The 16015-nt window shown below is 49.8% G+C and overlaps 1 protein-coding gene across 9 annotated transcripts in view, besides 6 other annotated features; it reads left to right on the top strand.

The window, feature by feature from the left end:
* Positions 4523–4622: an enhancer, noted in NCBI's record as "active region_364". NCBI's record gives its function as "activates an Ori minimal core promoter by ATAC-STARR-seq in GM12878 lymphoblastoid cells {active_cell/tissue: GM12878}" and the evidence as "EXISTENCE:reporter gene assay evidence [ECO:0000049][PMID:35858748]".
* Positions 4813–4862: a silencer, noted in NCBI's record as "silent region_414". NCBI's record gives its function as "represses an Ori minimal core promoter by ATAC-STARR-seq in GM12878 lymphoblastoid cells {active_cell/tissue: GM12878}" and the evidence as "EXISTENCE:reporter gene assay evidence [ECO:0000049][PMID:35858748]".
* Positions 4873–4982: a silencer, noted in NCBI's record as "silent region_413". NCBI's record gives its function as "represses an Ori minimal core promoter by ATAC-STARR-seq in GM12878 lymphoblastoid cells {active_cell/tissue: GM12878}" and the evidence as "EXISTENCE:reporter gene assay evidence [ECO:0000049][PMID:35858748]".
* The window catches only part of ASAP3 (ArfGAP with SH3 domain, ankyrin repeat and PH domain 3), a 56069-nt gene continuing 44988 nt past the window's right edge, over positions 4935–16015 (top strand). For 5 of the 9 annotated variants that reach the window (NM_001143778.2, NM_017707.4, XM_017001685.3 and 2 more), the window contains exon 1: positions 5387–5561. In NM_001143778.2, the coding sequence (NP_001137250.1) occupies positions 5433–5561 (129 nt within the window). In that variant the 5' untranslated portion in view covers positions 5387–5432. Of the gene's footprint in view, positions 5095–5386; positions 5562–16015 lie in introns of those variants that run through there. The other 4 variants (XM_047424481.1, XM_017001688.3, XM_017001689.2 and 1 more) reach the window with 2 other exon arrangements.
* Positions 5103–5552: a silencer, noted in NCBI's record as "silent region_412". NCBI's record gives its function as "represses an Ori minimal core promoter by ATAC-STARR-seq in GM12878 lymphoblastoid cells {active_cell/tissue: GM12878}" and the evidence as "EXISTENCE:reporter gene assay evidence [ECO:0000049][PMID:35858748]".
* Positions 14227–14726: an enhancer, noted in NCBI's record as "H3K4me1 hESC enhancer chr1:23801333-23801832 (GRCh37/hg19 assembly coordinates)". NCBI's record gives its function as "activates a minimal SCP1, AML or CMV promoter by ChIP-STARR-seq in naive H9 embryonic stem cells {active_cell/tissue: H9 hESC(naive)}" and the evidence as "EXISTENCE:reporter gene assay evidence [ECO:0000049][PMID:30033119]".
* Positions 14727–15228: an enhancer, noted in NCBI's record as "H3K4me1 hESC enhancer chr1:23800831-23801332 (GRCh37/hg19 assembly coordinates)". NCBI's record gives its function as "activates a minimal SCP1, AML or CMV promoter by ChIP-STARR-seq in naive H9 embryonic stem cells {active_cell/tissue: H9 hESC(naive)}" and the evidence as "EXISTENCE:reporter gene assay evidence [ECO:0000049][PMID:30033119]".

Here is a 16015-nt window from a genome sequence, read left to right as displayed (position 1 = left end):
GGGCATGACATAATATCAAATACCTATAGATTACTTAAAGATTACCCTAAACCTGGAGGTTCAGAAAAAATTTCACTGTAATTGAATTGTTCACATATTTAAGTAAAAACAAAAAGTTATTTTACTTAAAAAGAGAGAGAGAGAGAATGGCCAGGCTCAGTGGCTTAGACCTATAATTCCAGCACTTTGGGAGGCTGAGGAGGGAGGATCACTTGAGCTCAAGAGTTCGAGACCAGCCTGGGCAAAGTGAGACCCCTGCCCCCCGACCTCCATATAAAAATTAAAAGTGGCAGGCGCGGTGGCTCACGCCTGTAATCCCAGCACTTTGGGAGGCCAAGGCGGGCGGATCACGAGATCGGGAGGGAGATCGAGACCATCCTGGCTAACAGGGTGAAACCCCATCTCTACTAAAAATACAAAAAATTAGCTGGGCATGGTGGTGGGCACCTGTAGTCCCAGCAACTTGGGAGGCTGAGGCAGGAGAATGCTGTGAACCCGGGAGGCGGAGCTTGCAGTGAGCCGAGATTGAGCCACTGCACTCCAGCCTGGGTGACAGAGCAAGACTCCATCTCAAAAATAAATAAATAAATAAATAAAAATTAAAAGTTAGCCCAGTGTGGTGGCACACATCTGTGGTCCCAGGTACTTGGGAGGATGAGATGGGAGGATCCCTTGAGCCCAGGAGGTTTAGACTATAGTGAGCCATGATCATGCCACTGCACTCCAGCCCGGGTGACAAAGTGAGACCCTGTCTCAAAATAATAACAATAAAACAAAACAAAGAAGGCTTTAAAGTCTTGCAGACCTGGGTTGGAATCCTGGTTATATTACTTGTTCATTCTGACTTTATACAAATTAATCTCTCTAAGCTTTAATTTCAGTGAGATGGGAAGCATAACGTCACCTACCTCATAGGGTTGCTGTGAGTATTGAGTGGGTATTGAGTGAGCTATTGCTTGTATAGCCCTTGGCCCTGTGACTAGTACGTAGTAAATAAATAAATAAATAAATAGGTGGGCCAGAGCCCCAGACCAGAAAACTGATTATTACAGTCCACAGTGGTAATTGCTGTGGTGGGAGATACTGGATCCCGTAGGAGTCCAGAGTAAGTACATCAAGGAAGGGTTCTTGGAGGAATTGACATCTAAGTTGGCCTGCTGAAAGGACGTGGGAGAGCATTACAGACGGAGGGGAGAACAGTGAAGGGGCTCAATCACAGTGGGGACAGAGAGGCAAGAGATCAGCCTGTGAATGGCAGGAGCAGCAAGACCATGCAGGGCTAGACATCCATGAAAACAAGTTTGGCTTTTATTCAGAGAGCAATGCGGGGGGCACTGAAGAGTTCTAAGTAGAGGAGCAACAGAACAGATATGCAAGATTAGGGGCAGGGAGACCAGCGAGGAAGTGAGAGGTGGCAGTGGTCTGGACTGGGGTTGGCCTGCAGATGGAGAAGGTGGTCTCACTGGTGAGACTAGTGACAAGACTTGTTTGAGGGGAGGTTGGTAGAAGAAGGGAGGAGAGGATGACTCCGAGGGGGTGCATGGTAATGCCTTCCATCAAGACAGGGACAGAAAACAATCTGGTGCAAGGAGTGGGCGTACGAGATGGTGAGTTCAGTTTTGGACCTGTAGAGTTTAAGGTGTCTGTCTGTGAGCCAGTGAAATGAAACTGTCTCATAGGTGGCTGGATACATAGATCTTGAACTAGAGAAGAGTCCAGGCTGGAAATACAGCCTTGGAAGATGTGATTGGCTCAGTAATGGCTCCCAAAGATATCCAGGTCCTAATCCATGGAACCTGTAAATGGCACTTATATAGCAAAAGAGATTTTGCAGGTGTGATTAAATTAAGGATTTTGAGATGGGGAGATTATCCTGGATTATCTGGATAGGCCCTAAATGTAATCACAAATGTCCTTATAAGAGGGAGGCTGAGCACTTTGAGAGGTCCAGGTGGGTGGACCACTTGAGGTCAGGAGTTGGAGACCAGTCTGGCCAACATGATGAAACCCTGTCTGTACTAAAAATACAAAAAATAAAAATATAAGTAAATAAAAAATAAAAATAAAAAATTAGCTGGGTGTGGTGGCATGGGCCTGTAATTCTAGCTACTCAGGAGGCTGAGGCACAAAAATCCCTTGAACCTGTGAAGCAGAGGTTGCAGTGAGCTGAGATCACACCACTGCACTCCAGCCTGGGCGACAGAGAGGCATCACGTCTCAAAAAAAAAAAAAAAAAAAAGAGAGAGGTTGAACTAGCTGGGCGTGGTGTCATGCACCTGCAGTCCCAGCTACTTGGGAGGCTGAGGTGGGAGGATCGCAAAAGCCCAGGAGGTTGAGACTTCAGGGAGCTGTGATCACTCCACTGCTTGGAGTGACAGAATGAGACCCTGCCTCAAAAAAAAAAAAAAAAAAAAAAAAAAAGAGGGGGCCGGGCGCCGTGGCTCATGCCTGTAATCCCAGAACTTTCGGAGGCCGACGCGGGTGGATCTCCTAAGGTCAGGAGTTCGAGGACCAACATTGAGAAACCCCATCTCTACTAAACATACAAAATTAGCCGGGCATAGTGGCGCATGCCTGTAATCCCAGCTACTCTGGAGGCTGAGGCAGGAGAATCGCTGGAACCCGGGAGGCGGAGGTTGTGGTGAGCTGAGATCGCACCATTGCACTTCAGCCTGGGCAACAAGAGTGAAACTCCGTCTCAAAAAAAACAAAAAAAAAACAAAAAGAAGAGGGGTGGGGAGGCTGGGAGAAATTTGATCACAGGGAAGAAGGCAAGTAAGATGCTTGAAGATGCTGCTGCCCTTGAAGGTGGAAGGTGCCATAAGCCAAAGAATGCAAAAACTACAGCTCTCGAAGCTGCAAAAGCAAGAAAACAGATGCTCCCTTATAGCATCCAGAGGAAGTACAGCCCCACTGATACCTTGATTTTAGCCCAGTGAAAGTTATTGCAGACTTGTGACCTCCAGACATGTAAAAGAATAAATGTGGCCAGGCGCAGTGGCTCATGCCTGTAATCCCAGCACTCTGGGAGGCCGAGGTGGGCGGATCACCTGAGGTCAGAAGTTCAAGACCAGCCTGGCCAACACGGCGAAACCCCGTCTCTACTAAAAAATACAAAAATTAGCTGGGTGTGGTGGCACGTGCCTGTAATCCCAGCTACTCGGGAGGCTGAGGGAAGTTATTGGTGATTTGTTATAGTAGCAACAGGAAACTAGTACAGAAGACATCAACATTACCGTTGGGATTGGATGAAGAAATCCAGGAAGGCTGATAGAGTGAGACATGCAGAGGATTTAGCAGAGAGCTCCCAACAACTCCAGCATTTAAGATCCCTGCGGAGGAAGTGCATCTCAGAAAGGGCTCTTGGAACAGCCAGAGGGAGAGGGCCACCAAAGAAAATAGTTCTCCTAGGATTCAGGGGCAAGGGTGTTTCAAGGAGAAGGGAGTGGTTAACATTGTCAGATGCTCCTAAAAGTCAAGCAAGAAAAGTGCCTAAGCTCAGGAGTTTGAGGCTGCCTTGAGCTATGATCATTGCACTGCACTTCAGCCTGGGCGACAGAGTGAGACCTTGTCTCTAAAAATAAATAACAAGAAAAGTGCCTATTTGGTTTCAACAGGAGAAGTTGACCTTGAAAGAACTCTTGGAATAGTTGTCGTCTCTATCAGATGGTACACATTTTTTTCAACTTTTAATTCTTTTTTCTTTCTTTTCTTTTTCTTTTTCTTTTTTTTTTTTTTTGAGACAGGGTCTCACTTTGTCACCCAGGCTGGAGTGCAATGGCAGGATCTCAGCTCACTGCAAACTTGACCTCCCAGGTTTAAGCCATTTTCCTGCCTCAGCCCACCAAGTAGCTGGGACTACAGGCAAGAGCCACCACGCCGGGCTAATTTTTGTATATTTTGTAGAGACAAGGTTTCGCCATGTTGCTCAGGTTGGCCTTGAACTCCTGAACAATCCGCTCACCTCGGCTTCCCAAAGTGCTAAGATTACAGGCATGAGCCATCGCTCCCGTCAACTTTTAATTCTATTACACAGTAGTATATGGTCATTGTATAAAAGTTAGGATATACAGATTCACCAAAAGAAAAGAAAGTTACTCATAATGTCTTCAGCTAGTGCATATCTGTCTTCAGCTAGTGCATAAAATGTTGCTGGTGCAACATTTTAGTGCATATCTTTCCGGATTTTTTCTTTTCTTTTCTTTTCTGTGCGAGAAAAGAAAAGATTCTCTCAATCGCCGCCCTGTGGGGTAAAATACCATGAGGCCATTTTAAGAGGGGGAAATGCAGGCTTAGAGAAGCAAGCAATTTATCCAAAGTAACCAAGATTGGAATCTAGGTTCCTCTGACTCCAAAACCAATGTTCCTTGCTGCGGTGCTTTCCTAGCTTTTTACTTGGAGAACTTTTCCCCAGAGGACCTCAGGCTTCAGAACTAAACCTAAGTGGATTTCTATCCTGAACCCCATCCCTCATCCGCCCCAAAGGATGGTGAGCCAGATTAAGGGGTGAAAGGCAGGAGCAGGAAGAGTAAAGGCGTGGGTGCGATCTATGGTCGGGTAAGAGGGAACTAGTACACGCACGTGTTCGGTTCTTCGCAACATCACAATCAAGCGGGCATCAGGCTTCCCATTGTACAGATAAGGAAACTGAGGTTCCAGAAGAGAAGTAATTTTCCCCAAGTCACACAGCTAGCCAGGGGCCCCGATCCACACATCCCCGGGGCGGCGGGGGTTATCAGGAGGGAGTCTCCGGATGCCTGCAAAGCTGAGGCTGAGAGCTGGGCGTACGCAGCAAAGGAGGGGTGGGGCGATTCGGGGCGGAGCGAGGCAAGGAGATTGGGCGGGACTGGGGAGAGAGGAGGGAAGGGTGGCGGGGGGGTGGTAGGGCAGAAGGGGCGAGGTCATGGGGAACTCGGAACGAATCAGCAGAGGAGGGAGGAAGAGGGAGGGGGCTCTAAGACTCGACGCGGAGATGGAACAGCCTGGGCCGTGCAAGGGAGGAGGATTTGGAAGACCCAGAGCGGGATGAAACGGGACAGAGCCCTGAAGGGGCAGGGATGGGGGAAGGCGGAGGAGTTTCTACTGAGGCCAGGGGTGGGGCATCGCGCCAGGGGGCGGGGTCTGAGGCGGTGAGGGGCTGGGGGCGTGGCCTAGGGGGCCGGCGAGGGGCCGGGGAAGCGGCCTGACGCGGTGCGGGGCCGGGACCGGGGCCGGAGCCTGGACCTTGGCGGTGGAGGAAGGCGAGGAGCCGGGGGCGGGGCCGTCCCAGCTGAGGAGCGGAGAGCGGCTGGAGGGTCGGGGGCGGGGCGTGCGGAGGGGCGGGGCGTGTGGAGGCCGGGACGGCGCCCCCGGCCGGCGGTGAGGCCGGCTCAGCGCGGAGCAGCTCAGTGCCCCCCGCGCCCCGCTCCGGCAGCTCCACGCTCGCGCCCGCCATGCCGGAGCAGTTCAGCGTCGCCGAGTTCCTGGCCGTCACCGCGGAGGACCTCAGCTCCCCGGCTGGGGCCGCCGCCTTCGCCGCCAAGATGCCCCGGTACCGAGGGGCGGCGCTGGCGCGGGAGGAGGTGAGGGGGCCGAGGCGGGAGGGGTCGGGGGTCGGCGCCGGGCCTGGCCTTGACCTCCACAGGCGTGTCGCACCCGAGCTGCGATGGCCCTTCACCGCGCCCCGAAACCTGCCCCCTCCCTAGGTCTGGGAGGACCGAGCGCATCTCCAACAGCTGCGTCCTCACCGTCGAGGCGGGGGAAGGCCCGAGGGACCGTTTTGGGGGGCCTCGAGGTCTCTTCGATGACAAACTCCACAGGTCGGGGGACGTACCCCAAGTGCCCCGCGTGACCGCCTCATCACATATGTGTTTGCCTAGCGCCTTCCAGCCTCAGTTTGCGTTTTCATCTTCGGAGCCCCACAAGTGTGCCCCCCGAGTCACTCCCCTTCTGAGAGGCAGGCTTCCCGCCTCAGTCCTGAACTTTCTTCCCCCCGGCTGCAGAGAGGCCCCCTCCCGCTTGCGGCTGGTTCGGAGATTTGGCCCGCGTTTGTGGAATGAATGCGGATGGGAAGGCGCCAGGAGCCGGGGTTCACCTTGGCCGGGCTGTTGGCAAGTTTATCGTCTCCTCTCCCCTCCCCTCTCCTCTTTGTCTTTCCCAGCAAAGCGTCCCAGGCCTTTTCTTTCGGTCTTGCAGGCTGCCCCACCCCATTCCCATGCTCTTCGGAGTTCCTTCCATTCCTCTTCTCTGAACCTGCTGCAGCTTTCCGCAGCTCCTCTGCAAAGAATATTCTAGGACAGACACCCCGTGGCCTTGGTCCAACGGAGAATAATGTGTTTTTGCAGCTCCCCATCCAAAGGATGCCCTCAATTTGGGTGGCATTTTGGACCTCAGCAACGGCTCTAGCCTTCCACCCTTCACCTTAAGTGTACTAGGCACCCACTGCGTGGCAGATACAAAGCTCAGTAGTTCATAACACCCTGCGCCAGTGTCAGGAAATCTGTCCTCTTCTCTCTTGTCAGGGTGACCCTCCATCTCGGAGTCTGTTTGTATCACTTTGTAAGGGTGATAGAGGATTGTGGAAGGAGCATCGACTTTGGGGAAGGCAGACCTTTTTTCTTTCCTTTTTTTTTTTTGAGACGGAGTCTCGCTGTGTCGCCCAGGCTGGAGTGCAGTGACGCGATCTTGGCTCAATGCAAACTCCGCCTCCCAGGTTCACACCATTCTCCTGCCTCAGCCTCCCGAGTAGCTGGGACTACAGGCTCCCGCCACTACGCCTGGCTAATTTTTTTTTTGTATTTTTAGTAGAGACGGGGTTTCACCGTGTTAGCCAGGATGGTCTCGATCTCCTGACCTCATGATCCGCCCGTCTCGGCCTCCCAAAGTGCTGGGATTACAGGCGTGAGCCACCGCGCCGGCCAAGGCAGACCTTTTTTCAAACGCTGGCTCTGCAGTTTGCCATTTGGGTGAACGTGGGCATGTGACCTGTCCTGTCATCTGTGGAATGGGGGTAATAATGTGTACCTCACATGAGACAATGCATATAAAGCATGCATCTTTTTTTTGGAGACAGAGTCTTGCTCTGTCTCCCAGGCTGGAGTACAGTGGTGCGATCTCAGCTGACTGCAATCTCTGCCTCCCGGGTTCAAGCAATTCTCATTCCTCAGCCTCCCAAGCAGCTGGAATTACAGGCATGCTCCACCACACCCGGCTAATATTTGTATTTTTAGTAGAGACAGGGTTTCACCATGTTGGTCAGGCTGTTCTTGAACTCCTGAGCTCAGGCAGTCTATCCGCCTTGGCCTCTCAAAGTACTAGGATTATAGGTGTGAGCCGCTGCACTGGCCCATGCCTCTTGATAAATGGAATGATTATCGTCAGATTAATCGGCAGATCTCTTTAGACAGTGATTGGGTCTCTTTTGTCTTCATTTGTCTCACAGAGCCTCACCTTGTCTCATTTGTCTCACGGAGCCTAGCCTACTACTTTGCACATAGTAGGGGTACATGTTTTATTAAAATAAGAAGCAGCCGGTCAGATTTGGCTTCCTTCCTTGGGCAGAGTCCACTGCCTGTGGATGTGGGTTATATTTTACTGTGGGGCTCACAGGGAAACACTGCTGTCCAGCCCATCCTTTGGAGAGCTTCCTGAGATTTGTCTTCATAGCCTCACATTTCATGACCCAGAATAGCTCAGTGCCATCCACATTCTTAGGGATTTCATGGTTCATCCTCCTCCCCAGGTTGTTCATTAGAATCTTAGAGCAGGAGAAGGGGCTCCAATATGAACCTTATCCATGGACAGAAATGCCCATTTATGCCCATACATCTGGCCTTGCCTGGCTGTGTAAGTGTAAGCACTGTGTGTTGGGGGAGGGACCCTTAGAATGGGTCTGGAGGCCACAGCAGGCTCTGTTCAGGGCTCAGCTTTGCCCCAGTTCAGGCAAGACAAAACCCATCCTCCTTTGCCTTCAGATTTTTGGTTTGGTGCACGTAGAGGTTCATTGTTACAACAGAAAGGCTTGCGGCACCCAAACACAGCTTTTCTCTTCAGCATCTCAGGGCCCAAAAAGTTAGAGTCTGAACTTTGGATTAGACTTCCCTGAGGTTTCCTGTTTGGTTTTGCATTTGCATTTATATTTTGCGATTATATTGTGTTTACATATAGTTTGATGCTGCAATTTTTTCCCCCAGTTCTGGGCTTGACTAACCCACCCCCAGGCTTGTAGCTCTATTTGACTGAATCAAAATGCAACTGATTCTTAAGTCAAGTCTTCCAGTTCTGACTGGTTTCCTGGGAGTAACTAGGGACCCTGTCCTGGGACTCGCAGCCCTTTTGTACAGTCCTGCTGGGAAGGACCCTGGGCAGATCACAGGAAACTAGAATGTCAGGGCTGAGGGACCCTTTTAAGATAGAGACCAGCTAGAAACTCTCTCAGATAAGATGGAGTAACTGATGTCCAGAGAGGCCAAGAGACTTGGCCAAGCTCCTGCGGCTGGATAGTGGGAAAGTTAGCATTTCTACCCACGTGTTCTACCCCCGGTCCTGTTCTCTTTCCTTTTAAAGTCCATCTGTCTGTCCTCCCTACGTAACTTCTCTGAACCTTGTTATTTTATCCTTAAAATGGATCTCTTAATCACTCCCTGCTTACCTTACTGGGTTGTTAAAGTTTTTTGTGTTCAATTATGAAGCACCATGCAAATGTGAGGGAGTATATTAAGATAGTCATTACGTCAACCAGCCTCTTCCTGTCTTGGGCCCCTTTATGCCCATCATCTCATTGATATTCACAACAACAGGTGAAACCGGGCCTAGGGCAGTGGAGGCAGCTGCCCTGTGTCACACAGTGGGTCTCTCTGACTCTGCTGTGCTCTGCCTGGGCTCTGTCCAGCTCTCTGTGCCATCTCTATGGACATAAAGGACACTAAGGACATAAAGATGCTACTTTGATTTGCTGACTGACTAGGGAGAAGTAGCCTGTTACAGGGAGATCAGTAAGAACCCCAGGAGTTTGTCCTGAGTCCCCAGAGAAAGGTACAGTCAATGCCATAAGAGGCAAGTGGAGCAGGAGAGGGAGAGAGCAGTAAGGACTGGTGCAATGAGGGAGAAGTTCCTGGAGGAGGTGACACTTCCAGGTGGAAGGATAGATGAACCCCATTTATCGGAGAGGACAAGGGAGTGAATTCAGAGACTGGTGGGAAGAGAGCATATTGGGAACCAAGTAAGCCATTTTGACCAGAGCTAAGAATTCATACTATATTGTGTGCCTCAAACTGCTAGTGGACACACCCCCTCCAGTAGGTCTCAGATGAAGCAGTCTGCCACAAATAGGAGATCTTCAAAGGCTTGTTTTGTATATATTTTTGAAATTTTAAAAGAAAGTTTTAATTGGACAAGTGGCATAATTTATTATTATTTTATTTTTTGAGACAGGGTCTCACTCTGTCACCCAGGCTAGAGTACAGTGGCACAATCATGGCTCACCACAGCCTCAACCTCCTGGGCTCAGGTGATTTTCCCACCTCAGCCTCCTGAGTAGCTAGGATTACTGGCGCCGGCTTAATTTTTGTATTTTTTGTAGGGTTGGGGTTTCACTATGTTGCCCGGCTGGTCTTGAACTCCTGGGCTCAAGTGATCTGCCCACCTCAGCCTCCAAAAATGTTAGGATTACAGGCGTGAGCCACTATGCTCGGCCAGGGCATAATTTGTAATAAGTAATTTAAAACATAACAGAAAAGGCCTATGAACAACTATCTCAATCCCTGTATTCTCCCCAGAGGTAATTGCTATGGAAATGTACATGCTTCCCAATGTATCTCCTCATGGAAAATATATTATCAGTGGGGGAATGGGAGTGGCTGGGGGAATGTTTACCTAAATTGGTATCAGGTCTTATAATGCACAGTTTAAATTGTTTTGGAGTTACATTTTTCTTTTCCTTTGTGACTTTTGCTTTTTTGAATCTTGTTTTAGAAAGGATTTCCTTCTTAATTTTTAATATTCTTGTGAATTTTACAGTTTGCTTTGTAAAATGTATTTTAGTGTAAAAATTGTGTAATCTTAGAGATTGTTTGCAAGAAACATAAACCCTGTCAAGCTTGTTTCTGTTGGAGGGAAATTTGTTTGTTTGTTTTTTGATCGTCAGAGAAGAATATTGAGGGAAATTGGCTTTAAAGAATTAGAGGTGCCTCATGAGACTGAAGAGCCGGAGGTAAAAGTACACCTCTCCAGGGCCTGGAACTGGAGGCTGGGAAGTTGTCAGGAACTAAGGCAGCTGCTTCGTCATTCTTGTTCTCTCCTGCCTCTGCTTCCCTCTGCACATCTGATCAGTGCTTTCGCTCATTCATCATCACATAGGCCCCAAAGCACAGCCCCCATGCTCACATGACCTCACTGGGCCAGTGTCTAAAGGTAACCGGACACTAGATTGAGCCAGTCTCATGTCCCACTTCCAAGTTCCTGGCAGAGGTTGACAGCCCGGCCCAGTTTCTGGATTGGGTCCAGTGGCTGGGTCTCCACCCCTGGTTTCATCAGCAGAGGTCATGGAGGGAAAGTGACCGGCAGGGTAAACATGGCCATTGAGACCTATGGTGTGGGAGGGGGCGCTTCTCAGAGAAGAGGGGCAGGGCCTGGAAAATCCCCTCAGAAGTATCTATGGCGATTCCTCTTTATTTCACACAGTCCAGGTTCCAGGGAGAGGTGCTGTGTCCATCCTGTTCTGTACCTCCCTGGTTTAGATCATTTATGCATACTCTCAGGTATAGAAGAACCCCTTTAGAAAACTCAGGTATAGGAGTTTTTTCATTTTTTATTTTTTATTTTTTTTTTGAGACAGAGTCTCACTCTGTCATGCAGGCTGGAGTGCAGTGGCACGATCTCAGCTCACTGTGACCTCCACCTCCCAGGTTCACGCCATTCTTCTGCCTCAACTTCCCGAGTAGCTGGGACTACAGGTGCCCACCACCACGCCCGGATAATTTTTTGTATTTCTAGTAGAGACAGGGTTTCACCGTGTTAGCCAGGATGGTCTTGTTCTCCTGACCTCGTGATCCACCCGCCTCGTCCTCTCAAAGTGCTGGCATTACAGGCATGAGCCACTGCACCTGGCTGGAGTTTTTTTTTAAGATAGAGTTTCACTCTTGTCACCCAGGCTGGAGTGCAACGGCACGATCTGGGCTCACTGCAACCTCCACTTCCCAGGTTCAAGCGATTCTCCTGCCTCAGCCTCCCGAGTAGCTGGGATTACAGGCGCCCGCCACCATGCCTGGCTAATTTTTGTATTTTCAGTAGAGATGGGGTTTTGCCATGTTGGCCAGGCTTGTCTCAAACTCCTGACCTCAGGTGATCCACCCACCTCGGCTTCCCAAAGTGCTGGGATTACAGGCGTGAGCCACTGTGCCCAGCAGTTTAAAAGATTTAAAAGATGAGATTAGAATGCTAAGGGGGTGCAGCAAGACTTGGAGGGTTTTGAATGCCAATTGAGCATTCTGACTTTTTGTTGGGCGGTGTGGACCAGTGGACCCAATCATGTTGCTCAAGGAATGGATGGGGTTGGCCCTGCCAGCATAGTGCCTGGGGGACTGCTCCATGCCAGGCCCTGTATGAGGCACTGGGCAGATGCATCGCTCAGTTAGAGATGCAGTCCCTGCCCTGTGGACCTTACAGTCTTCTGGCAAAGCCCAACAGTAAGCAGGTAAACAAATAAGTCACAGCCGGGTGCAGTGGCTTATGCCTGAATGCCAGCACTTTGGGAGGCCGAGGTGAGAGGATCACTTGAGCCCAGGAGATTGAGGCTGCAGTGAACTCCGATGGTGCCACTGCATGCTAGCCTAGGTGATAGAGCAAGACCCTGTCTCCAAAACAAAACAAAACAAACAGAAAGAACAAATAAGTCAGAAGTTGCTCATTGTACTAAGTGGCACGAAGACTCATCCTCCTCGTCAAGGCCTTCTTTGAGGTTTGTTCTGGGTCCTCATCTCTTCAGGGAATCTTGTCCACACGTGTGGCCTTAGTTACCTCCCATCTCCAGGTGACTCACACATTTGTACCTGTAGCCTAGATCCTCATGTCCCAGTGCATACTTGACCACACTCCTAACTTCCCTCAGGCTCCCTTCCAGAGCTGTTTTCACAATGAGTGGTGCGACCTCTCACCTCCACGTGTGCCCCTCATCACCAAGGAACATCTTCTTTTTTTTTTTTTTTTTTTTTTGAGATGGAGTCTCACTCTGTTGCTCAGGCTGGAGTGCAGTGGCGTGATCTCGGCTCACTGCAACCTCTGTCTCCTGGGTTCAAGTGATTCTCCTGCCTCAGCCTCCCCAAGGCAGATGGATCACTGGAGGTCAGGAGTTCGAGACCAGCCTGGCCAACGTGGCGAAACCCTGTCTCTCCTAAAAATACAAAAATTAGCTGGGTATGGTGGCACGTGCCTGTAATCCCAGCTACTTGGGAGGCTGAGGCACGAGAATTGCTTGAACCCGGGAGGTGGAGGTTGCAGTGAGCCCAGGTCACGCCATTGTACTCCAGCCTGGGCGACAGAGCAAGACTCTGTCCCCCGACAAAATATTATTTTATTAAGATCTAATTTGTCAATAGATTTTGACTTCTATGAGAATAGAAACTAATCTCACTGTTGTGTCCCTAGTATTTACCATAGAACCATAGTGTGTTTTCAGAAAATGTTGGTTGAATAACAAATAAATGAAAGAAAAAAAAAAACTAAAAAGGAGCATTCATAGAGAATAATGGTATGGGGGTGCTCCAGATGGAGGGGACCTCTTAGGCAAAGGTCCTGAGGCAGTAAAGAAGCTGAAATATATGTGACCCTGAAAGGGGGCCCAAGGGGCAAAAGCACTGAGATGGGCAAAGGGAAGAGTGGCACCTGCTGAGTTTGGGTGGTGGTGGCAAGGCCATATTCAAGTTTGATGGCCCTGGTAGTGAGTTTAAGTTTTATTTAGTACACAGGCAAGCAGCATAATCCAGTTTGTATTTTAGAAAGATCATATCAGTTGCTGTATGGAAACTAGATTGGAAGGGCCAGGAGAGGACCCAAGGAGGCCATTCTGTTATTTAGGGAAGAGATGATGGTGGTGTGGATCGGGTTGTGGTTGGTGGAGGAGGAGAGAAGTGCACAGATTGTAGAAGTGTTTTATAAGCAGTCAAGATTTGTCGATGGAGTACATGTGGGCAGTGCTCAAGATTGTGTCCCACATTTCTTTTTTTCTTTTTTTTTTTTGTTTGATTGGGATGGAGTCTCACTGTATTGCCCAGGCTGGAGTTCAGTGGCACCATCTCGGCTTACTGCAACCTCCACCTCCCGGGTTCAAGCGATTCTCCTGCCTCAGCCTCCCAAGTACCTGGGGCTACAGGCGCCCGCTACCACACCCAGCTAATTTTTGTATTTTTAATAGACATGAGGTTTCACCATGTTGGCCAGGCTGTTCTCAAACTCCTGACCTCAAATGATCTGCCCGCCTCAGCCTCCCAAAGTGCTGAGATTACAAGTGTGAGCCACTGTGCCCGGCCTTAAATTTCTGATGGAAGGGTGCCATATACCGAGAAGGGGAAATCTGGCAGGGGAACAGGTTTGGGGAGAAATCAAGAATTCTATTTTTTTTTTTAATTTTTTGTTTTTTAGAGACAGGGTCTCCTTCTTTTGCCCAGGCTGGAATGCAGTGGTGCAGTCATAGCTCACCACAGCCTTGAATTCCTGGGCTTAAGCAATCCTCGTGCTTCCACAGGCACATGCCACCACATCCATGCTAATTTGTTTCTTCTCTTGGTAAAGATGAGGTCTCGCTGTGTTGCCTAGGCTGGTTTCAAACTCTTGGGCTTAAGTGATCCTCTTGCCTTGGCCTCCCAAAATGTTAGGGTTACAAGCATGAGCCACTTGTGCCTGGCCAAGAATTCTATCTGTATATCTTTATAGGTCTTGAGACATCCAAGTGGAGATGTCAAGAAGGCAGTATGTGAGTTTGGAATTCAAAGGAGCGGGCTGGAGATACACATTTGAGAGCTGTTAGCATCGAGACCGTGGGTTTCAAACCTGCATCTGTGTCAGAATCACTTGGCGTCATTCCCAGAGAGTATGATTCAGTGGTGGTATCTTAGGCTTTTTATGGCAAGCAAGAGAAACCATCCTGAGCTGATTTAAGCAGAAAAGGGCTGCACTGAAAGGGAATGTTCAGTAGTTCACAGAATTTCTGGGAAGTTGGAAAACTGGGGCTGGGCAGCAGGCAGGATCTCAGCCAAAATCATGCCACCGAGCCAGTTTGGCAGGACACTGCTGCCACACACTAAATGCCATCGCTGTGTCACTGTTCCCTGAACACTAGACACCATTGCTGTGGTTGCCACCAGCATTGGAATGGATCTTCCACTGTGCTCCTGATTCAAAGTCTGTAGTGAGGGCTTCTGATTGGTTGAGCTTAGGTGTAAGGGAGGCTGGAAAAGCAAGAATTTGTTGTTTTCAGCTTTCACAGGAGGTGAACTCTGCCAAGACCTGTGCAGTGAGGAAGTCCCCAGACATAGGAAGGAGGTCAGATGCCAGACTGGCACACAATGACAGATGTACTTGACAGCAAGTTTGCCAGCTTGTGGGATTGTCTGGGAATCTGCATTTAAACCAGCACCCTGGAAATTCCCATGCAGGTGCTGCCTGAACCACATTTGCATCCATTGCTTGAACTGGTACTTAAAGCTGTGGGGGCTGGGCGCGGTGGCCCACACCCGTAATCCCAGCACTTTGGGAGGCTGAGGCAGGGGGACCACTTGAGGTCAGGAGTTTGAGACCAGCCTGGCCAACATGGCGAAACCCCGTCTCACTAAAAATGCAAAAAATTAGCCGGGCGTGGTGGCACGCACCTGTAGTCCCAGCTATTCGGAGGCTGAGGCAGGAGAATCGCTTGAACCCGGGAGGTGGAGGTTGCAGTGAGCCGAGATTGCGCCACTGCACTCCAGCCTGGGTGAAAGGGCAAGACTATGTCTCAAAAAAATAAAAATAAATAAATAAATAAAGCTGTGGAATGGACAAGATCACCTAGAGAGAGGAACGAAGAAGGCCCAGACCCAAGCCCTGGGGACCCTCGGTATCAAGAGATTGGGATAGGAAGAGGAATTAATAAAGGAGACCAAGAACGGGCTGTCAGTGGGGAAGGAAGGAAATAAGACAGTGTTGTGCCTCAGAAGCCAGGAGAGAAGTGTTCCGAGGAGAAGGGGTGCTCGGCTCTGTTAGATGCTGCCCAGATGCCCAGAGGTAAAATAAGACAATGACAGAGACACAGCCTCTGGCTTTGGCAACACGGAGGTCATTGGGAACCTTAAGAGCAGATTTATGGCTCACGCCTGTAATCCCAGCAGTTTGGGGGACTAAGGCGGGTGGATCACCTGAGGTCAGGAGTTCGAGACCAGCCTGGCCAACATGGCAAAACCCCATCTCTACTAAAAATACAAAAATTAGCCAGCCATGGTGGCAGGCACCTGTAATCCCAGCTACTCAGGAGGCTGAGGCAGGAGAATTGCTTGAACCCGGGAGGTGGATGTTTCAGTGAGCCGAGATTGTGCCACTGCAGACACAGCAAGGCTCCATCTCAAAAAAAAAAAAAAAAAAAAAAAAGAGCAGATTTAATGCCATTTTCGCCTCCACACCATCCTGGACTGATTTGAGGAGGGGGCAGATGAGAAGTTCTCCCTAGAAGGGGAGCAGAGACATAGGGTGTGGCTAGGGCCCTGGGATCAGCAGGGTTTTCTAGGATGGACTGGGGACCCAACTCCACTGAACCAGCCTCCTCCCTACCAACAGCCTCTGCACAGGGGGCCGAGGGTCTTCCCAGAGTTGTCAACCTTGAGCCTGTCTCTCAAAGTCTCCTTCTCTCCCCAAATTTGTCTTTTTTTGTGCTCACTTCCTTGCCTAGTGTTCAGCTGTTTCTGGCCACTGAGGTACAAGGAGACAGATGACTCAGGCAGATTTGGAGGCAGAAACTGTAACTTTAGGTCAGAGCAGAAGGAACATGCTTTCCCTGAAGGCAATTTGATCATAT

This window comes from Homo sapiens, chromosome 1 (genome assembly GCF_000001405.40).
Source record: "Homo sapiens chromosome 1, GRCh38.p14 Primary Assembly".
NCBI lineage: Eukaryota > Metazoa > Chordata > Mammalia > Primates > Hominidae > Homo > Homo sapiens.
This window is presented reverse-complemented; position numbering and strand designations above follow the sequence as displayed.